This window comes from Homo sapiens, chromosome 3 (genome assembly GCF_000001405.40).
Source record: "Homo sapiens chromosome 3, GRCh38.p14 Primary Assembly".
Taxonomy (NCBI): domain Eukaryota; kingdom Metazoa; phylum Chordata; class Mammalia; order Primates; family Hominidae; genus Homo; species Homo sapiens.
Window position 1 is genome coordinate 181838109 of NC_000003.12, and position 24035 is coordinate 181862143.

Genomic DNA, 24035 nt, shown 5'->3' on the forward strand with positions numbered 1-24035 from the left:
ATTGTTCTGGTTTTTCCTAGGATTTGATTTTTACAGTATTCAGTTTGTTTACTTGTTGAGAAAAATTAAGGGGGGGCAGAGAAATGAAGCAATGGTTGGAGAGAGAAAGGAGGTGTGTTCACATTGAAGATGAGAGTGTGGATTTATAATCTATAAAACTGAAGTTTTCCTTTGAAAATTGCAAAGTGGACTTTGTAGAGGGTGGAGCTCCATGGCGCTTCACATCCTGGCAGCTGGGAATAACTTCCCAAGGACTTAAAAAATTAACAAATTAAAACCACTGTTACTCCTAACTCAAATTCTAACCAGTGTATCCAACACAGTAATGTGAGGTATTTATGTTTGGAACCACTGGATAGGCTAAAAGTTAACTCAGGCTTAAAACTAGTTGACACAAAGCAATTTTGGCTGAACCAAATTGACCTAACAAAATGCAAAATTGTTCTAACAGCGGGATTGTTCATTTCACTCTGTGGGTCCTGAATGCAGTGGAAATCCCCACACTGTCTAATGACATTTCTAGGTATACTGCTCCCCAAATTAGTGCTTTCCTGAATGATAAGGCAGCACTAGAAAATATCAAATGGCCAACACTAAGAAGCCATTCTCATATTACTGCCTCTAGGGTGATTGCATTTCAAAGATGCCAAGTTATAGCAAAGACACACTTTCAGGATGCCCAAGACTTCTAGACAATTTGAGAACACCAGAGTTGCTACAAAAACTTTACAGGAGGCCACTGATTCTCCATATCTATAGTCATTTGGGCCCAGGTAAGTATGGCCTTGAGCAGAAATGCACCAAATTTGTACTTTCTCTACCCTGGCACCAGGATGCTTTGTGTGCTGGAAAGTTCGCATCCATAGTAATTCCCTGTGTTGGACCTGACCTCTCCATCCCAGTTGACTATGGAAGGAAGCCAAAAAAGAGGGGGGTGTTGATGCATTTATTTGCATTTGCCATTTTTATTTGCCTTAGGAACTTCAGACCGCAGGCCTCCTTAAGCATGAACTGTTTGTTAAAGTCTGGTGTTGCCTTTTGTGGACTGGTCTAGCCAAGAGTTGTTTTAACCCAAATGGGGAGATGGGGGTGGGGCTGGGGTGGGGTAAGACATCTGCAGAGCCCAACAACCGTTACCAAGGCCTACCCTGGCTCTGCCCCTACCTGCCGAACGTTAAACAAAGCCCCTGGGAGAACTCGGGCAAGCTGAACACCTTGGTCAAACACGAAGCAAACCACCACCAGGTGTGCTTGCAGAACAGACTCTCCATCAGCGTCCTGTCATGCAGAAAATGTTTATCCAATTTGTCAAGATAATCTTTCCTCAAATAAGCTTTGGGCCTATTCCTTGGAACAGCCTGAATTTAGTCGGTATAATGTAACTCTATTTTTTTTCACCCATTTTCCTTTAATTGCTGTGTCAACTTTTCCCTGGCTTTAAGCAAACTGAAAGTAATTATATCATTCTTAAGTGAGTAATCTTCTGACTGGGTTAGCTGATTCGTGAGTTACTCTAAAATTCTAAACTGTGCTGTTCTTTTTCAAACACATTTTCTTAGATGTTTCGCAAAGTTTGGCTCATCGATGACCCACGGGTGTGTTTATTCTGTCACGTTTCGTGGCTACGCCGTGACTATATTAGGGCATTTGAAAAGAAGTTAAGTGTAGAAATATGAGAAGGGAGAAAAAGGAAACTTCACCTACTAATTTCAGTATTTCTTGGAAATATTACAGTCATTGTAAATAACTTGCAGCTTCAAGCATGAAGAACGTTTGATTAGTGCTTTGAATCATGGTGTAATATTAGAGGCTGGGCTTGATGGACTTAAAAAGCACTCACTTCTTTCATTTCATAATATAGTTTCCTTGCTATTTGACACCTTGTGTGATATTGTTTTGTTTAAAACACAGAAACGCTAAAGGTTACCACATTTTTCTTAGTTCTACTCATTGACATACTCCCACAGAACTCATGATATATTTAAAAATAGAAGGCTCAGCCATCTGGCTATTGGATGGTTTCTATTTTTGTTTCTCTTTGCATTCACAAAGTCTGTTGAGTCTGAAATTCTCTATGTTCTGCCCTATATGTAATTGTGTATACACACACACACACTTTCTCATTTAAATTTAGCCATTATCAATCTGGGTTTGTTTTACCGACCACAGTGACACTTTGGTGGGGACGCTAACCTTGCTTAATTTATGCATTAGTCAAGTCTGCATTAAATCCTAACTCTGAGGATTGTTACCTAAAGTCTAAAAGATGCCAAATCAAAGGCATTTCTTATTAATATATATCACCCATGTTTACTCAGGATTTTCATTAATAGAAATAGGCTCCTTGTCTTGGCTTTGACGAAGCCACAGGACTACAGGAAACTGTAAAGCTCATCTCATGAATCCCCATCATTTTATACCCGAGGAAACTAGGGTCTAGAGATGTAGAGAAAGATCAGTTTAAGGTCACATGGCTAATTAGTAGTAAAATTCCCTTTAGAATACAGATCTCCTGACTTTTTCTAATGCTCTATCCATTTTCATAAACTAGATAGGAGCTAATAAGGATATTTTTTGTGAAGTTCAGCAATGTATACTTTAATTACATTAATTATATGTTTATAACCTCTGTTATTTATAGGATTGTGTTTACAAGCAAAACTGAAGTGCATTGTTATGTTTTGATGGTTAAAAATAATATTTCCTCACCTCTCAGGTGTCAGTGACCCTCAAACTTTATTGCATGAATGAGCTGGTTACAAAGGCAGATTCCTCAAGAGAATGGAAAGACAAGCCACAGACTGGGAGAAAATAATTGCAAAAGATACATCTGATAAAGTATTGCTATCTAAAATATACAAACGACTCCCAGTCGGGTGCGGAGGCTCACGCCTGTAATCCCAGCATTTTGAGAGGCTGAGGCAGGTGGATCACCTGAGGTCAGGAGTTCGAGACCAACCTGACCAACATGATGAAACCCCATCTCTACTAAATACAAGAAATCAGCTGGGTGTGGTGGCACATGACTGTAATCCAAGCTACTTGGGAGGCTGAGGCAAGAGAATCACTTGAACCTGGAGGCAGAGGTTGCAGTGAGCCAAGATTGTACCATTGCACTCTAGCCTGGGCAACGAGAGCAAAATTCTATCTCAAAAAAAAAATAAATAAATACAATAAAAATAATAAAATATACAAACAACTCTTAAAACTTGACAATAAGAAAATTGAACAACCTGATTTTTAAAATAGGCAAAAGACCTAAATAGACATTTCACCAAAGAAAATAAACAGATTCCAAGTAAGCATATGAAAAGATGTTCATCATCATATGTCCTCCTCAGGGAACTGCAAATTAAAACAGCAATATGATACCACTACACATGTATTAGAAAAAACAAAATATAGAACACTGACAACACCAAATGCTGGCAAGGATGTGGAGCAACAGGAACTCTCATTCATTGCTGGTAGGAATGCAAAATGGCATAGCCACTTTGGAAGAAGCTTTAAACTAAACATACTCTTACCATATGACCCAGCAATCTTGCTCCTTGGTATTTATCCAAATGAATTAAAATTTTATTAAGATTTTAATAAGAGCTGGGTGTGGTGGCTCACACCTGTAATCCCAGCACTTTGGGAGGCCAAGGCGGGCGGATCATGAGGTCAGGAGATCGAGACCATCCTGGTTAACATGGTGAAATCCCGTCTCTACTAAAAATACAAAAAAAACTAGCCGGGTGTCGTGGCGGGCGCCTGTAGTCCCAGCTACTTGGGAGGCTGAGGCAGGAGAATGGCGTGAACCCGGGAAGTGGAGCTTGCAGTGAGCCGAGATCGTGCCACTGCACTCCAGCCTGGGCGACAGAACAAAACTCTGTCTCAAAAAAAAAAAAAAAAAAAGATTTTAATGAGAGCTGGGTGTGGTGGCTCGCACCTCTAACCCCAGCTGAGGCTGAGGTGGGATTTTGAACCTACGAGTTTGAGACCAGCCCTGGCAACATAGCATGACTCCGTCTCTACAAAGAAGTATTTAAAAAATTACCTGGGCATGAAAGTCCATGCCTGTAGTCCCAGCTACTCAGGCTGAGGTGGGAGGACTGCTTGAGTCTGGGAAGATGAGGCTGCAGTGGGCCATGGTAGTGCCACTGCACTCCAGCTTGGGCAACAAAGCGAGACCCTGTCTCAAAATACAAAACAAAACAAACTCCACAAAAATTTATGTCCATACAAAAAGTTGTCCATGGATGTTTATGCCATCCTTTTTTTTTTTTTTTAGATGGAGTCTCACTCTGTCACCCAGGCTGGAATGCAGTGGTGCGATCTTGGCTCACTGCAACCTCCACCTCCTGGGTTCAAGCCATTCTCCTGCCTCAGCCTCCTGAGTAGCTGGGATTACAGGCATGTGCCACCACACCTAGCTAATTTTTGTATTTTTAGTAGAGACAGGGTTTCACCGAGTTGGTCAGGCTGGTCTCGAACTCCTGACCTCGTGATCGGCCTACCTCAGCCTCCCAAAGTGCTGGGATTACAGGCGTGAGCCACTACGCCCGTGTTTATGCCATCTTTATTTATAATTGCCAAAACTTGGAAGCAACTAAGATGTTCTTCAGTAGGTGAATGGATAAACAATGGTACAGGCAGACAATAAAATATTATTCAGTTCTAAAAAGAAATGAGCTATCAAGCCATGAAAAGACATGGAGAAACCTCGAACACATATTATGAAATGAAAGAAGCTAGTCCGAAAAGGTTATATACCGTATGTTCTGGAAAAGGCAAAACTATGGAGACAGTAAAAAGATCAGTGGTTGCCAGGGGTTGAAAGGGGAAGGGAGGGATAAATAGGCACAGCACAAAGGATTTTCAGAACAGTGAAAGTATTCTGTATGACACTGTAATAATGAATCATGTCATTATACATCTGTCAAAGCCCATGGAATGTACAACACCAAGAGTGAACCCTAATATAAGCTATGGTCTTTGGATGACAATGATGTGTCAATATAGGTTTGTCAATTATAACAAGTGTAGGCCGGGTGCGATGGCTCAGGCCTGTAATCCCAGCACTTTGGGAGTCCGAGGCGGGTGGATCACCTGAGGTCAGGAGTTCGAGACCAGGCTGGCCAACATAGTGAAACACCGTCTCTACTAAAAATACAAAAATTAGCCAGGCCTGGTGGCGCGTGCCTATAGTCCCAGTTACTCAGGAGGCTGAGGCAGGAGACTGACTTGAACCCAGGAGGCAGAGTGAGCTGAGATCGTGCCATTGCACTCCAGCCTGGGTGATAGAGTGAGACTCCGTCTCAAAAAATAATAAATAAATAAATAAAACAAACATAGTGGCGCAGATATTGATAGTGGGGGAGGTCGTGTGTTATGGCAACAAGGGGTATATCGGAAGTCTCTACACTTGCTGCTCAGTTTTGCTATGAATGTAGAACAGCCCTAAAAAATAAATTTAATTAATTAATTTATTTATTTATTTATTTATTTTGAGACAGAGTCTTGCTCTGTCACCCAGGCTGGAGTGCAGAGGCCCGATCTTGGCTCACTGCAACCTCCACCTCCCAGGTTCAAGCGATTCTCCTGCCTCAGCCTCCCAGGTAGCTGGGATTTCAGGCATGCACCACCATGCCCGGCTAATTTTTGTATTTTCAGTAGAGACGGGGTTTCATCATGTTGGTCAGGCTGGTCTTGAACTCCTGATCTCATGATCCGCCCGCCTCGGCCTCCCAAAGTGCTGGGATTACAGGCGTGGGCCACCACACCCGACCAAATTTTATTAATTAAAAAAAAAAAAAAGATTCCTGCTCTACTCCACTTCACATGTCATCCTCATCCGACCTCCACCCCCTACCAATGCCAATGCTGATTTAGCTGTACTGAAGTGAGGCCCTGAAATCTGCATTTTTAGCAAGGATGCTAACAATTCTGATGAGGGGTAGAAAACAGCATTTTCAGAAATCTTGGTCTCTACCCTCCAGCCTGCTGAGGACGTAGCTCATATATGAAGCAGACACACTGTTTATTCAGTCTACAGACAGCCTGCTTCAAATATCCATTTGCTAACCCACAACCTCCTGAAGCAACCTACTGCTCAGGAACCCCTACTTTGCAATTAAAGTCATTAAACACAGAGGTCAAACTGTTTTGAAAAAAGGCAGCAGGCTAGGCAGGGCCACAGTATGGTTATTTCCCTCTACCTGCTGGAGGGGAGGACTCGAAAGCTTTTCCATCAACCAGACTGTTCAGTGTGTCTTGGTTAGCTGCACCTGCCTTCTGGCCTTTGCTTTTCTGTTCTGTGATAAGAGAACAAAGCCACCAGCTGAGGAATTGGTTGCCTGAACCAGTAGGAGCAAAGTATTCCTCGAAGACTTCAGCCCTAATCAGGGGCTGAGGAGTTCTCAGCCAGCTGCGGTCAATGTCAAGCCAAGTAGGAAAGTGTATATCAGCTGGAGAATTCCAGGGTCTTTCTTGAATTTTTTTTCTTTTCTTTCTTTCTTTTTTTTTTTTTTTACTGGAGACAGGCTGTCACTCTGTCACCCAGGCTAGAATGCAGTAGTGCAATCATGGCTCACTACAGCCTTGACTTCCTGGGCTCAGGCAATCCCCACATCTCAGCCTCCCAAGTAGTTGGGCCTGCAAGTATGCGCTACCATGCCCTGCTAATTTTTAAATTTTGTGTATTCTTTGTAGGGACAGAGCTTCACCATGTTTCCCAAGCTGATTTTTTCCTTTTTAAATTTTACTTTGTTTTAGAGATGGGGGTCTCTCCATGTTGCCCAGACTGGAAAGCAGGGGCTATTTCCAAGTGCGAGCATAGTCCACTGCAGTCTCAAACTCCTGGCCTTAAGCCATCTGCCTGTCTCAGTCTCCTGAGGAGCTGGGACTACAGGCATGAGAGGTCTTTGCATTTTTCAGTCATTTTGTGGGATATTATGCTTACTCTGTGCAGGACGCTCTTCCAGGCAGTGCGAATATATCAGGAAGTAAAATCCTTGACCTCATGGAGCTTATATTCTATCTATATATAGTGCTTGCTATGTGCTGGCACTTTTCTAAGCACTTTACTTGTATTGATTCTTTAATCTTCACAACATTATAATTTAGGTGGCATTATTATCCCTGTTTAAAGATGCTGATACTGATGTACAGAGAGATTTAGATGTTTGCCTAAGGTTGCATGCAACCCAATCTAAACCAAAAACTATGGTTGAGCGCTCCCACAGGGCATTACTTCCTTTTAGATCCTGGGGCAAAAATTGCCCTATCTCACCAGTATTACATTATTATTATTATTATTATTATTATTATTATTATTATTGAGACAGGGTGCCACTCTGTCACCCAGGCTAGAGTGCAGTGGCATAATCATGGCTCACTGCAACCTTGATCTCCAGGGCTCAAGCAATCCTCCCACCTCAGCCTCCTGAGTACCTGGGACTACAGGTAGCCACCAGCATGTCAGGCTATTTTTTTTTTTTTTTGGTAAAGATGGGGGTCTCACTTTGTTGCTCGGGCTGGTCATGAACTCCTGGGCTCAAGTAATCCTCCTGCCTTGGCCCCTGAAGTGCTGTGATTTATAGGTAGAGAGCCACTGTGCCTGGTTTTATTACATTATTCATAAGCGGGGAAGAGGACCGTCTTAGTCACTTGGGCTGCTGTAATGAAATACCAGACTGAGGTGGCTTAAACAATAAACATTGATTTCTCACAATCTGGGGGATAGAAGACCAAGATCGGGGTGCCAGGATAACCAGGTTCTGGTGAAAGCACTCCTCCTGGGTTACAGGTAGCCATCTTCTCATTGTATTCTGACTTGGTGGAAGGAAAGAGGGCTGGCTCTCTTCCTCTTCTTATAAAGACACTAATCCCATCATGGGGACTCTGTCCTTATGACTGGATCCTGTATGGGAGGAAAAAATCAATGCTATGAAAGATATCACTAAGTCAACTGACAAAATTGGAATAGAGATGGCGAATTAGATAAAAGCATATAGACCAGGTGTGGTGACTAACGCCTGTAATCCCAACAGTTTGAGAGGCTGAGGCAGGCAGATCACCTGAGGTCAGGAGTTCAAGACCAGGCTGGCTAAAATGGTGAAACCCCGTTTCTACTAAAAATACAAAAAAATTAGCCGGGCGTGGTAGTGCGCACCTGTAATCCCAGCTACTTGGGAGGCTGAGGCAGGAGAATCACTTGAACCCGGGAGGTGGAGGTTGCAGTGAGCCAAGATTGCACCATTGCACTCCAGCTTGGGCAACAAGAGTGAAACGCCATCTCAAAAAAACAAAACAAAACAAAAACAAAAAACAAAAAAGCATATAAATTTATGAAATTTATGTCTCTTATGATGACATAAGAGAATATCCTATTCTTGGGAAATAGTCATCAAAATATTTTGGGGTAAATAGCTAATATATGCAACTACCCTCATATTCTTTGGGAAAAAGTTTTATACACACAGATACACACTCATATACACACACACACGCACACACACACAGAGTGAGAATGGGCAAGCCAGAGGAATAAAATCATAAAACAAATGATGTTAATAGGTGAATCTGGTAAAGGATACATGAAAACTTCTTTCTTTTTTTTTTTTAAGAGACAGGGTCTGGCTTTGTAGTCACTCCAGCCTCGGACTCCTGGGCTCAAGAGATCCTCCTGCCTCAGCCTCTCAAGTAGCTAGGACTACAGGCACAAGCTACCATGCCCAGCAGATGTTTCTTTATTTTTTGGGAAAGGGGGAACACATATTTATGTTTAATAAAAAAAAAGAAATGTACTCCTACAATTGAGATTGAGGGTCATGCGTCATGCCTGCTGGTTCGTTGTTTCAATTCTTTTTCTTTGAGATGGAGTTTCACTCTTTTCACCCAGGCTGAAGTGCAATGGTGCGATCTTGGCTCACGGCAAACTTTGCCTCCCTGGTTCAAGTGATTCTCCTGCCTCAGCCTCTGGAGTAGCTGGGATTACAGGCTCCCACCACCATGCCCAGCTAATTGTATTTTTAGTAGAGACAGGGTTTCATCATGTTGGTCAGGCTGGTCTTGAACTCCTGACCTCAGGTGATCCGCCTGCCTTGGCCTCCCAAAGTGCAGGAATTACATGTGTGAGTCACTGCACCTGGCCCAATTCTTAAATATAAGCAGCTATTTGAATCCCAGTGAGAACCAGTTACTATTCATTCCCCTGAGACATGTTCCACTTCTTCCTCTATTCGTAGATTATATTAGTAACTAAAGAGAGTAAGAGTCTGCCTGAGACATGAATATATTTTCTGCCTTCAAAGGCTAGAGCCAGAGAAAGTGCTTCCCTCTGACTGTGAGGGAAGGAGGGTCTTTGAGTCACTGAGTGGATGTCTGAGTCTCCACACATCCTGCTGACAGCGCGTGACTACTGCCTCCAGGTCACCACACCTGGCACACCCAGATCACCTCCTTCAAGACCTTCATTCACTCCATGCTTTTGTTATTCATGGCCATAGCTGGGAGGACCACTTTGTTTCTGGCTTCTTGAGACACAAATGCACCAGTTTCTTTGCAAAGACATGGATGAGAGGCTTATCCTGGCTGAGAAGGAGATTTTGTGGTGAGTACTGGTTTGTTGATGTCACTGAGGCTACATTTCTGGGCTCTAGGGAGATCAGCGTACCCACCTTCCTGAACTGGGTCACCATCTCCAGGATGTGACTGCTGAAGGCTGTGCACACCACATTGGTGGGACCCCACCCACTACTTTACCTGTTTCACCAATGGTTTGCCTTCCATGGCTGAGTCTCTTTAATGGCAACTGCACCCATACCACACCAGTCTGTGGATGTTCCTAATGCTATTTTTATTTTTGCAACTTTTTGTAAGTTTGAAATTGTTACTCAATAAAAATATAAAATTGTACGTATTTGTCTGGATGTGTACATGTGCATTTTTCTGGGGAGAGGGTTGGTCCATGGGTGTTCTTAGGTTATCATGAGAGTATGACAGAAGTAAGTGACTTAGATGTGGCATCTTGATTTGTGAAGAACAGTTTATCTGGCTAGGCGTGGTGGCTCATGCCTGTAATCCCAGCAGTTTGGGAGGCCAAGGTGGGCTGATCACCTGAGGTCAGGAATAGCCTGTAGTCCCAGCTACTCCAGAGGCTGAGGCATGAGAATCACTTCAACCTGGGATGGAGAGGTTGCAGTGAGTCCAGATGGTGCCACTGCACCCCAGCCTGGACTACAAAAGTAAAACTCTGTCATAAAAAAAAAAAAAAAGGTTTATCCTTTATTGGAAAGAAATTTGCACTTTAAAAAGGAGAACTGTATTATTTTTAAGTTGTGGATTCCAATTTCTGGTACTCAAATCTGCATTCACCTTAGCAACACAGAGGTATGTAAAAACTAGTCTGTAGTATCTGGTTGACCTCTGTTCTTCATTCATTGAGCAGTCTTTAAGAACCTACTATGTAGCGCGCACACAGACACACACACACACACACAGACACACACACACACACACATATTTTAGAGACACGGTCTCACTCTGTTGCCAAAGCTGGAGTACAGTGCACAATCATGGCACACTGCAGCCTCAACCTCTTGGGCTCAAGGGATCCTCCTGCCTCAGCCTCCCCAGTAGCTGAGACTACAGGCACATGCTACTATACCTAGCTTTTTTTATTTTTTATTTTTATTTTTTTGTAGAGACATGGCTCTGCTATGTTGATCAGGCTGGTTTTGAACTCCTGACCTCAAGTGATCCTCCTACCTCAGCCTCCCCAAGTGCTGGGACTAGAGGTGTGAGCCACCACACCCAGCCAAGTAGCGTATACTCTGCTACAAATACACAAAGATAAAATATAGGTAATTGTTTTATCTTTGTGTAATTTGTCTTTTGAGAAGCCTACAACCTAGTAGAAAAGAAACCTACAACCTAGTAGAGAAGAAAATAACTGTGATTTTAGTTAGATAGTGCTGAATATCAGGCCAGGTGTGGTGGCTCACACCTATAAATCCTTTGGGAGGCCAAGTCAGGTGGACCCCTTGAGGTCAGGAGTTCGAGACCAGCCTGGCCAATATGGTGAAACCTTGTCTCTACTAAAAATACAAAAATTAGCTGGACTTGGTGGTGGGCGCCTGTAATCCCAGCTACTCAGGAGGCTGAGGCAGGAGATCGGGAGGCGGAGGTGCAGTGAGCTGACATCAGGCCACTGCACTCTAGCCTGGGCGACAGAACAAGACTCTGTCTCAAAAAAGCAAGCAAACAAACAAACAACAACAACAACAAAAAAAAAAACACAAAGAAAGAAAGTGCTGAATATCTCCAACGGAGGAACCAGAAAGCTATAAGAGTTCAGAGGAGAGAATATTTTAGGCTGAAAGATATTGGGTAGATTTCCCAGGGAAAGAGTCATTAAAGCTGAACTTCGCAACATAAATGAGCTCTGCAAAGGTAGACAGTGTGTTTATGTGTGAATGTTAGTGTGTGTGTGTGTGTGTGTGTGTGTGTGTGTGTGTGTGTAGAGTGGGCAAAAGGCAATGTTGGTAATAAGGAACATTGACGGTTGGGCTAAAAATTTCAAATTTTTGTTTACTAGAAAATAGAGTGAGTGTGGAATTTTGAGCTGAAAAATAACATAGCACTATCCTTTTGGAGGAGGCAGAAAAGGGAAACAGGGCCTGACTCTAGCATGTGCCTCTGAGGTACCCAAAATGGTGGCAGAGTGCAGAAGGCAGGGAGCCAGGGGTCCCAAGCAAGGCTGAGGGAGGGAGGTAAGCTGCCCAGCAACGGTAGATGTGTAGAAATGAAGGCTAAAACCTTCTTCAGCCTGGATGTCAAAGAGAAGAAAACTGCCACATGGCTCCCAGGCAGGGAGGCAGGAGGAGGCTGCTGCCAGAGTGCTACCTTCTCCCCATCCACAGATTTGTGCCACCTCTTGTGAGCACACCTGACAGATGGCAGGGTCATCTGGGTGGGGGTAAATGAAGGCGGTGATGGGGTGTAGCACACCCCAGGCCCTGGATGACATTACAGCAGTCCTAGACCAGGCCTCCATTTGGAGTGTTCCCAAGGCTGCCAAAATTTGAGGGCTCACAGAACCAACTCTTTTGTTGTTCAGCTATCACTGTCCCCTAATTATTCATGAATACTTCTGCATGGCAAGGCTATGGCTATGAGTTTTGTTTTTTTTTGTTTTTTTCCCCATGGAAATAAAAGCATAGCTCCAATTATCCAGGAGAAAGACAAATGCCAACTCACCTGATGCAGCCAGGCCTTTGATTTCAAAAGGGTATCAGGAGTGTTGAATCCACAGTCTCACTTCTCAGTTTTTCAAGTGCAGAATTGGATGAGAGTAACTCAAAATTCCCCAGAGACTTAGACCCTGCCTGAGTTCCTATTTCTCTTACTGTGAAGGAAGGGCCCACCAATCCACCCCAGGCCCTCCTGCTGCTGATCTTCATAAGGGATTTCTTCTGAGACAGAGAATTTTCAAACTGAAACAGACTTTAGAGGTCCTTTACTTCAATTGTCTTCAATATAAATGAGGAAATGAAGGTTCCTAAAAGATGAGTGGTTTGTCCAAAGTCATATGAACAGGGCAAATACAACAAGAATCTAGATCTCCTGGCTCCCTGTTCAGTGTTAACTAATAATAGTTGTAGCTTCCCCCAAAAGTTCCTTATGAACTCTTTGAACTCATCTTGTTTTCTGGAACTTTCTCTAGAGGGGGTCTCACGGGTAGTAGACACCGGAGGATGCTGCTGCCCTTGTGGGGTTCAGGTATGAAGTGATCAGGTATGATGACATGGCCTAAATCTCTGAAAGGCTTAAAGGAAATGGAAAGACCTGGTATTTAACAAGACCTGAAACAGGTGTCTTGCTTGTTCACAGAATCTTTCCAGAGAATACCATAATACATCCTGAAAGAGAAGAGAAAATCATAAAGTTTTAAGGAGATTAGATAGTTGAGATTAGCTTTTTGTGATCTTGCAATGTTTTCACTTATTTCCAAATCGTATAACGCCGAGTATGTTGAGCAATCTGGTGAAAATCACATGCAAACAGAGTCTAAGTACTGATAAGAATCCTAAAGGTAAACAATGAATTCCTACTAATGGCTAAGTCACTAAGGTAAGATCCAGTCTAAATACACACCCTTGGTTAAATAGGGTTTCATTAGCTCAGGTTACAGTGGCTCGGGGAAATTTTTCCTTTATGCTTGTCAAGTGAAATTAATTATATATCATCCATCAATCATTGCTGCCAAAGAAGTTATAGGTGAATACTAAAGAATCCACAGCAGCTCCCCCACTGGGCCCCCACCCCCACTCCCTACTCCTTTAGGAGCCCTCTGGGGCATATTTTGGTGCCTATAGGTAAAAGTTCCTGAGATTTTCTGGGAAGTCACAACTTACGTTTTTGGCTGATAACCTGTGAAAGTTTCCCTTTTCAAAACTTGACACTTGGTGTGTGCTTCAAGTTACTCACAAATATTTGACTTTGTAGAGTGTATCTCAGACTGCACAGCAAATTAGATTCTTGCAAGTTTCCAATGTCAAATTTTTCATATAAGTAATGCAAATAATTCAAGAACATTTAAAAATAGACAATACTTTTTAAAATTATAATCCACGTCCTCACCATTCCATTAAATGATTGTTTGAATTTTAATGTATTTCCTTCTATGTATTTAATATATTCCCTTCTATGTATTTTTCTTTTGTATTCACTCTTTTCTCATTATAAAAGCCATGAATGTGTAGCATAGAAAATTCAGAAAGTATGGATAAGAAAAGAACATAAAAATCGGCCATTAACTAATTTATTGGATGGACAAAGTGGCTCATGTCTGTAATCCCAGCACTCTGGGGGCTGAGGTCGGCAGATGGCTTGAGCTCAGCAGTTCAAGACCAGCCTGGGCAACATGGTGAAACCCTGTCTGTATTTAAATTAATAACTTCACTTTTTAAAATAAAAACCTTATTTATCCAGACATAATGAACCTTCCCAGTCTTTTTTAAATACACGTATTTTTTTGTTGTTTTTTGAGATGAGTTTCAGTTTGCCTCCCAGGCTGGAGCGCAGCAGTGCGATCTCGGCTCACTGCAACCTCTGCCACCTGGGTTCAAGTGATTCTCCTGCCTCAGCTTCCCAAGTAGTTGGGATTACAGGCTCTGACCACCGCGCCTGGCTAATTTTTGTAGTTTTAGTAGAGATGGGGCTTCACCATCTTGGCCAGGCTGGTCTCGAACTCCTGACCTCGTAATCCACCCGCCTCGGCCTCCCATACTGCTGGATTACAGGCCTGAGCCACCGCGCCCGGCCTAAATGCATGTATTTTATTTTACTTAATTCTAAGCTGCTTTTTCACTTACCTTTCAAAAAAACATACATGTTTTAAAATCTGTTCTTTTCAACCAAAGAAATGTGTATACATGTTTAAAACATCAAACGATTGGCTGGGCGTGGTGGCTCACGCCTATAATCCCAGCACTTTGGGAGTCCAAGGTGGGTGGATCACCTGAGGTCAGGAGCTTAAGACCAGCCCAGCTAACATGGTGAAACCCTGTTTCTACTAAAAATACCAAAAATTAGCCAGGCATGGTGGCGCGCACCTGTAATCCCAGCTACTTGGGAGACTGAGGCAGGAGAATTGCTTGAACCTGGGAGGCGGAGGTTGCAGTGAGCTGAGATCGCACCATTGCACTCCAGCTCAGGCCACAAGAGTGAAACTCCATCTCAAAAAAAAAGAAAAAATCAAATGGTCATTTTGTTGGTGATTCGGTAGCATCTTATAATAGAAATTCATTTGATAGTCTACTATAGATGAGACAATTTGATTTTATTAGCTTTGATATTTAAATTTCCCCTCTTTTCTCTTCCCTTAGAGTATTTCATTCATCACACAGTTTTTTTTTTTTTTTTTTTGGGACGGAGTTTCCCTCTCGTTGTCCAGGCTGGAGTGCAATGGTGCGATCTTGGCTGACTGCAACCTCTGCGTCCCAGGTTCAAGAGATTCTCCTGCCTCAGCCTCCCAAGTTGCTGGGATTACAGGCATGCGCCACTACGCCCAGACAATTTTTTTTTTTTTTTTTGTAATTTTAGTAGAGATGGGGTTTCTCCATGTTGGTCAGGCTGGTCTCAAACTCCCAACCTCAGGTGATCTGCCCTCCTCAGCCTCCCAAAGTGCTGGGATTACAGGCGTGAGCCACCGTACCTGGCCCAGCACACACTTAGTAAGCATATTTCTGGCCCAGGCTCTGGGTTAGGCATTAAAGATTCAAGCATATTTGCTTATTTTAAAAAGTAATTATTGAGTACCTAATATGAGTCAGACAGCGTTCAAGGTATTTGGGATAGAGCAGTGAACAAATGAGGTAAAAAATCTCTGCCCTTTTGAACCATAAGTTCTGGTGGAGATGAACAGGAGATGTATTATCCTTGCTGAGGTCAAAATTCAGCATTTTTAGGAAATGAGTGGCAGAATTTAATATCTATATTTAATACTTATCAACATCTACTCTGAACTCTTCTATCCTCAGAGATAAGCACACAACAGTGAGCAAGACATCAGCACCTAAACTCAAGTGGCTTATAGTCCAGGGCGCAGTGTTTCTAAGAAGTACCTGTGTGCCTGAAAAATTATCATCCCAAAATGGATATAGTGATACTTGTTCTGCTCACCCTATTGGATGAGTGTGAAATCAAATGAAATGAATCTGCAAGTGCTTTGAAAGCTTTAAAATGAGGAACCTCATGAAAGAGTTAGTATTAGTGTCCTTAGCAGTGGAGAGACATGTACCACATCTGAAACAAGGAGCTAGAATGCTGGAGACTGATCACAAGGCCAGAAAGTCAACGAGACTGGTGTGGGTTTTCCCAACGAAGGAGACACTTTTTAAAATATTTATTTATTTATAATTGAAAAATAAATATTGTGTAGTTTATAGTGTACAACATGATGTTTTGAAATAGGTATACATTGTGGAATGGATAAATTAAGCTAATTAACATATGCATAACTTCACATACTATTTATTTGTGGCAAGAACACTTATTAAGATGTTTTCCAAACTTCTTTTTTTTTTTTTTTTTTGGAGAAAGCATTTTGTTCTCTTGCTCAGGCAGGAATGCAGTGGGCCGATCATGGCTCACTGCAACCTCCCAGGCTCAGGCAATCCTCCCACCTCAGCCTCCCGAGTAGCTGGGACTGTATGCACTACCACACCTGGCTAACTTTAAAAAAAAAATTTGTAGAAATGAGGTCTCACTCCAGCCTGGCCAACATGGTGAAACCCCGTCTCTACTAAAAAAAAAAAAATACAAAAATTAGCCGGGCGTGGTTAATCCCGGCTATTTGGGAGGCAGAGGCCGGAGAATCGTTTGAAACCGGGAGGCGGAGGTTGCAGTGGGCCAAAATCAAGCCATTGCACTCACACCTGGGGGTTAAGAGCAAGATTTCTCTCAAAAAAAGAAAAGAAAAGAAAAGAAAAGAAAAGAAAAGAAAAGAAATGAGGTCTCACCATATTGCCTAGGCTGGTCTCAAAATCTTTAGCTCAAGCGATCCTCCCACTTTGGCCTCCCAAAGTGCTGGGATTACAGGTGTGAGCCACCGCACCTGGTCAAGACATTATTTTTTAGAGCAGTATTAGGCTTATGTCAAGATTGAGAGGAAGGTACAAAGATTTTCAACATACTCCTGCCCCGCACATGCATAGCCTCCTCTGTTATCAACATTCCCCACCAGAGTGGTACATTTATTACAATTGGTGAACCTACACTGACACACCATTATTACCCAAAGTCCACAGTTTACATTAGGGCTCACCCTTAGTACTGTATATGCTATGGGTTTGGACAAATGTATAATGATTTCCACTATCCCAGTCATACAGAGTATTTTCACTGCTCTGGAAATCCTCTGTGCTCTGCCTATTCATCATTCCCTCCCCTCTAATCCCTGGTGACCACTGATCTGTTTACTGTCAGGAGTCTCTCTCTCTCTCTTTTTTTTTTTTTTTTTTTTGAGATGGAGTCTTCCTCTGGCTCTGTCGCCCAGGCTGGAGTGCAGTGGCATGATCTCGGCTCACTGCAACCTCCACCTCCAGGGTTCAAGCAATTCTTGTGCCTCAGCCTGCAGAGTAGCTGGGATTGCAGGCGCCTGCCACCATGCCTGGCTAATTTTTGTATTTTTAACAGAGACGAGATTTCACTATGTTGTCCAGGCTGGTCTCAAACTCCCTGGCTCAAGTGATCCGCTTGCCTTGGCCTTCCAAAGTGCTGGGATTATAGGCATGAACCACTGCACCTGGCCCATGGAGACATTTTTTAACAGATGGACAAAGACATGACCATAATTGATAATTGATCATTTCCAGAATTAAAGTCATTTGGTAAATAAGGCCCTATGGTAATACAGTAATCATAATATTTTAGTAGCACTTTACACTTTACTGTATCATCCCACTAATTCTCCTAACAGTTATATATTTTCAAAAATCTATGCTCCGATTCTCATCCTTTCCCTAGTTCAGTGGTTCTTAACCTTTGGTCAGTATCAAAATCACCTGGGGAACTTGATACACTCACCAGAGCCCAGATCCTATCCTCTGTGCTCTTTATTAGCTCTCCAAGTCAATCTGATAACACACAAACATTTGTGAATCAGTACTTTTAGTTTACAATCTGACAGTTTTCAGAGCTGAAAAACATCTTAGAAATCATCCTGCTGATGTCTTTACAAGAAAGTTGACAGAGGTTTGGAGATGTTAAGTGGCTGCTCCAGGGTTGCAAAGCCAGCCAGGGCCTGAGCCATCATCACCCAAACATAGTTTTCGTACTGGATTGACCAAGGTGTCACTCCCTCCTTTCTGCTGTCTAGGGACCTCCAGGCGCATGAGTGTCCCTGCAGTGTTGGTGGCTCACAGCCACAGCTCTTGTTAGAAGCAAGTGTGATTTCCCAGAGAAAGCTGCTCTTGAGAGTTTCTAGCACTGCCTTACCTAACCACAAAAGTACTTACTCTGTCTGAGAACAATGTATTCTATGTAGTGGCCCCTGATATAAGTTTTTAAAGCACTGTAAATTCTTCAGTTGAGGTGAAGAAATTTCCAAATTAATCTCTCCACATTAGGACATTATCACTTTCCATAGACAATCATTTCTGCATGTATCTAGGACTTTCACTTCTTTAGCTTCCTACCTAAAACTAAACGCATTCATCGATTTTCTCTGACTTTTCTCAATCTGATGCCTGGATTTTGACTCATATCCTCACAACCTGAGTCTACACATTATAAATGATACAGATACAGGATGGCACTTATTAATATACTGTTTCTGTTTTGTTTTTATTTTGTGTAGGGGGTAAAAGGAGTAGAAAATGATGTGTTTTCTTCTTCTGTGAAAATACCTGGTTGCTCTTATTAAACTTTTGGCCCCCTGGAGCCTCAGCAACAAGAATATTTCTGAAATGCCCACTATTCGTCCTCATCCTTCTAGAGTGAATTGATTGGTCTAGTTAATGTGACTCCTTAGTAAACTGGTTGATAATACCTGGTGCAGTGAGGGGGTGGAGGCATTTTTATCCACTCAAATTGGGATGGACTTGGTGCTACCTTGAGAGGGAAAGCTGGCAATACAGATTCAGATTAAAATGTAGGCATTCTGGCTGGGTGCAGTGCTTCACACCTGTAATCCCAGCACTTTGGGAGGCCAAGGCAAGCAAATTGCCTGAGGTCAGGAGTTTGAGACTAGCCTGGCCAATATGGTGAAACCCTATGTCTACTAAAAATACAAAAAAAATAGCCGGGCATGGTAGCATGCACCTGTAATCCCAGGTACTTGGGAGGCTGAGGCAGGGGAATTGCGTGAACCAGGGGTTGCAGTGAGCCAAGATCGCGCCACTGCACTCCAGCCTGGGCAACAGAGTGAGACTCCATTTCAAAAAAATATATTAGCTGGGCATTGTGGGACGTGCCTGTAGTCCCAGCTACTCAGGAGGCTGAGGTAGGAGAATCGCTTGAACTCAGGAAGCGAAGGTTGCAGTGACCTGGGATCATGCCACTGCACTCCAGCCTGGGTGACAGAGGGAGACTTCGTCTCCAGAAAAAAAAAATTGGCATTCTTTGTGCAGTTCTTCTAGGAAATTATTCTATAAAATTGTTAGCACAAGTGTGCAAAAACATATGTACAAGGATGTTAAACATAGTGTGTGTGTGTGTGTGTGTGTGTGTGTGTATAATTTTTTTTTTTTTTTGAGATGGAGTCTCGCTCTGTCGTCCAGGCTGGAGTGCAGTGGCGCGATCACGGCTCACTGCAACCTCGGCCTCCCAGGTTCAAGGGATTCTCATACCTCAGCTTCCCTGAGTAGCTGGGATTACAGGCACCCGCCACCACTCCCGGCTAATTTTTGTATTTTTAGTAGAGACGGAGTTTCACTATATTGGCCAGGCTGGTCTCGAACTCCCAATCTTGTGATCCACCTGCCTCGGCCTCCCAAAGTGCTGGGATTACAGGTGTGAGCCACCGTGCCTGGCCTTAGTATATTTTTGTAGTAGTAATAAATAAGTAGGCCGGGCTCTGTGGCTCACACCTGCAATCCCAGCACTTTGGGAGGCTGAGGTGGGAGGATCACTTCAGTCTGGGAGTTCAAGACCAGCCTGGGCAGCATAGGAAACTCCGTCTTTAAAAATAATTTAAAAATTAGCTGGGCGTAGTGGTGCACCCTGTAATACCAATTACTTAGGAGGCTGAGGAGGGAGGATTGTTCGAGCTCAGGAGTTCAACGATATAGTGTGCCATGATTCCACCACTGCACTCTAGCATGGGTGACAGAGCAAGACCCTGTCCCAAAAAAAAAAAAAAAAAGTAAGTTTATATGTGAGTAAACAGCTGAAGGAAAATAATGATCTATTTTTGTGGAATTTTATTTTAAAAATAGAGTTGGCTGGGCACGGTGGCTTACGCCTGTAATCCCAGCACTTTGGAAGGCTGAGGGGGGCAGATAACGAGGTCAGGAGATCAAGACCATCCTGGCTAACACAGTGAAACCTTGTCTCTAGTAAAAATACACACACAAAAAAATTAGCTGGGCATGGTGGCACGTGCCCCTAGTCCCAGCTACTCGGGAGGGTGAGGCAGGAGAATTGCTTGAACCCGGGAGGCAGAAGTTGCAGTGAGCTGAGATTGTGCCACTGCACTCTAGCCTGAGTGACAGAGTGAGACTCTATCTCAAAAAAAAAAAAAAAAGTATATACATACTAGAATACTGTATGATACTATCTGAGAGTTAAAATGAGTGAAATCTACATACAGTTGTCCCCCCTTATTTGACGTGGATATGTTCCAAGACCCCTAGTGGATGCCTGAAACCTTGGATAGTAGTGAACTCCATATACATTTTATTTTTTCCTACAGATTCATATCTACAATAAAGTTTAATTTATAAATTAGGCACAAGAGGAGATTAATAATAATAACTACTAATAAAATAGGACAAATAAGGCAGGGCGTGGTGGTTCATGCCTGTAATCCCAGCACTCTGGCAGGCCAAGGCAGGCAAGGTCAGGAGTTCAAGACCAGCCTGGCCAACATGGTGAAACCCTGTCTCTACCAAAAAATACAAAAGTTAGCCATGTGTGGTGTTGCATGCCTGTAGTCCCAGCTACTCAGGAGGCTGAGGCAGGAGAATCACTTGAACCCAGAAGGCGGAGGTTGCGGTGAGCCAAGATCATGCCACTGCACTCCAGCCTGGGTGACAAAGTGAGACTCTGTCTCCCTTCCCCCTCCAAAAAATAGAATAAATAATAATATACTGTAATAAAAGTTATGTGAATGTGTTCCTCTCTTTTCCTCTCTCACTCTGAAAATACCTTATTCTACCATATTTACCTGAAACCATTGAAAGCAAAACCGCAGTTAAGCGGGACTGCTGGAGCTGGTGAGAAAAATGCAAAATAGCATGTGTTGTTTATTTGCTTATATGTGTGGATTAACGTTATCTGTTTATCCTCTTATCTAGGATCTAAAATTAGTCAGAACTAAGAAGTGATACATATACATACTGCTAACAGTGGTTATCTTCGGAGGGTGGGGTCATAGATAACTTATTCTCTAGAATACGCTGCATTTTTTCATTGCATTACTTTTGTAATCAGGCAAAATCAAAACAAAACTGTTAAGCATAAATTTTACTAAAAAGTGAGATATATGATTCTAAAGTCTACCTTGGTTTCAAATTCAATCAAACTCAGTTTGGCAATTCAGTTTCCTTACAGGTTCACGCCTGTAATCCCAGCACTTAGGAAGTTCAAGGCCAGCCTGGGCAACATACTCAGACTGTCTTTACAAAACAAAAAAAAAATCCCATAGAGCTTTAATCTTTCTTCAGCATTTTGCAGATGACAATTTTAATACATTTTAGCACCTTGAATGTGGAGGAGGCCAAGACTGGGTGAAGTCGGCCTGGAGTAGCTGGAGTTAATTTAATGCAAATAAGATAGAGTGGTTTGAGGGAAATATTTTGAGCCAGAGATTTCTGGTTCCCTGGAAAAGTTAATATGAATGAGAATGCAGATTTTTGGTGAAGAGGTGATAAAGGCCTTCATTATCTTCAATTAGTATTTACTGACAGTGAAAGGAGCCTGTGGCCTGGGGGCTGAATCGCCAACCTTTCAGCCCAGCCTCCAAGCCTTTCACCTTCCTGCCTACTCCGGGGTGAATTTGGCACATTTCTGTTGGATTGATTTGACTTTTGTCAAGTTCTGCCTCATTTGTGTTTAAACGTGTGTGCCTTACCTCCCTCACTAGACCATAAACTGGTGGAAAGCAGGAGTAATTGTTTAAATTCATGCAGCTATACCATATTACCAAGTACCTGGGGAAGTCACAGAATAGATGACTAATATTTAACTGGTTGTGTCACTTACTGTTCAGACGCCCTTTTATTTCTTCCCAAGTAAAGGACAATTTCCTGGGATCTGGTTCCAAGTAACTTCCCAGTTGTATCTTGCCTTGTGACCCTAAATGCATCCAGTGTTTTGGAGAAATGTGACTGTGAGCTAGTCCCCAAATAGAGTCAGGATCCTCCCTCCTCCGAGTAAAGCCTGACCCATCATTGCTCACAAAATAAAATTCAAATTTTGGCATGGCATTGAAGCCCTGTCATTAATAACAAGGAAAATACTTATTCACATGCCTCCAGAACAAGTTCAAGTCTCAGCTCCCCTACCAGGAGCTCTGACCTTTGGTAAATTACTTACCCAGGAAATAAGAGTAGGAATAATGCATACCTCATAGGCTGTTAGTGAGTAATTTGCTTTGCATAGTTCCAGGGCAAGGGCTAAGTACTGGATATTGTCATTGTCATTTCTTTAACACCTTTATGGTAATTATCTGTACCCCTCACCCAAGGTACAATGTTTGTTTGCCATCCATGAACCAGCAGGATTGAAACTATTGACTGCAGAAGGGTGGGGAGAAAGGAAGAACATCCGGCAGTGAAGGAACCTTGAACTTCTTTTTTATTTATTTTTTACATTTTTTAAATTTTAATTTTAATTTTTTCTGAGATGAAGTCTCACTCTGTTGCCCAGACTAGAGTGCAATGGTACGATCTTGGCTCAATGCAACCTCCGCCTTGTGGGTTCAAGCGATTCTCTCACCTCAGCCTCCCAAGTAGCTGGGATTACAGGCATGCACTACCACACCCGGCTAATTTTTGTATTTTTAGTAGAGACAGGGTTTCATCATGTTTTCCAGGCTGGTCTTAAACTCCTGACCTCAGATGATCTGCCTACGTTGGGTTCCCAAAGTGTTGGGATTACAGGCATGAGCCACTGCGCCGAGCAGAACCTTGAACTTCTTAAAAGTTAGGTTGGAATTAAAGAATAAAGGACTTCGGATACCTTGCTAAAGATTTTAAGTTTGTGGTATAGCCAATGAACTTAGAGGAGTAATGATATATTTCACTTTTCCTCTTTTTATTTGTACAAATTTATGGGTTACCTGTGCAATTTTGTCACATGTATAGACTGCATACTTGTCAAGTAAGGGCTTTTAGGGTATCCAAGTAATGATAAATTTTAAACAAGGTAATTTAGGTACATAATTGGCCAACCTCCCCAACCTATCAGGTATTATTCTTCCAATATCTGATAATAATAATAATGAGTATTATTGTTAATAGTTACCACATATTAAATACCAATTTTATTCCACCCAGTGTATTTGGTGCTTTACATTTTCATTTATTAACTCACTTATTCACCTGCTCATTCACCTTCTCATTTATTCATTCAATGAACATTTGCTGAGCACTTCCTAGAGGCCGAGCATTGAAGTAGGCTTTGAGGGACAGTGGTAAATGAGACTGACAAGGTCCTTCCTAACCTAACTTTTAAGAAGTTCAAGGTTCTGCCAAGCGCAGTGGCTCACACCTGTAATCCCAGCACTTTGGGAGGCCAAGGCAGGCGGATCACCTGAGATCAGGAGTTCGAGACCAGCCTGGCAAACATGGTGAAACCCTGTCTCTGCTAAAAATACAATACTTACTAGAGGCCAAGCATTAAAGTAGGCTTTGAGGGACAGTGGTAAATGAGACTGACAGGTCCTTCCCTCATGGAATTTTCATTCTAGTGGGGATTCCAACAATAGATAGGGAAGTATGTACATATTGTGCCAAGCATTATGAAAGACAGAGCTTCACATGTGTTGTTTCATTAGCTATTGATATAATCAGTATCTGGCCCCAACTCACTTTTCCATTTTCCTTTCCCATGACATACACACTCACATACTCACAAGCACCATGCCCTTCATCTCCACTGAACTACTTTCTGGATTTTTCTGTCTTTGTGCTTGTGCCCATACAGTTCCCTCTAACAAAATACACTGCTATGTATTTGTGTTTTTTGAAGGCTCGAATATCTGTTATTACTCATTTCAAATACTACCTTCTCCAAGAGCCCTTTTTCAGCCTCCCTGTTGGGTCTAGTTTCTTCTTCCTCCATGCAGCAGGGATAGCCTTTGAACTTCACATCTAGCACTT

General features: G+C 42.5%; 1 pseudogene, besides 2 other annotated features; it reads right to left on the reverse strand.

Annotated features, from left to right (window-relative positions):
* PSMG3P2 (PSMG3 pseudogene 2) lies at window positions 9418-9777 on the reverse strand (annotated as a pseudogene).
* Window positions 10390-11011: an enhancer, noted in NCBI's record as "H3K4me1 hESC enhancer chr3:181566286-181566907 (GRCh37/hg19 assembly coordinates)". NCBI's record gives its function as "activates a minimal SCP1, AML or CMV promoter by ChIP-STARR-seq in naive H9 embryonic stem cells {active_cell/tissue: H9 hESC(naive)}" and the evidence as "EXISTENCE:reporter gene assay evidence [ECO:0000049][PMID:30033119]".
* Window positions 22073-22367: a silencer, noted in NCBI's record as "tiled region #859; HepG2 Repressive non-DNase unmatched - State 24:Quies". NCBI's record gives its function as "represses a minimal TATA promoter and a strong SV40 promoter by Sharpr-MPRA in HepG2 cells {active_cell/tissue: HepG2}" and the evidence as "EXISTENCE:reporter gene assay evidence [ECO:0000049][PMID:27701403]".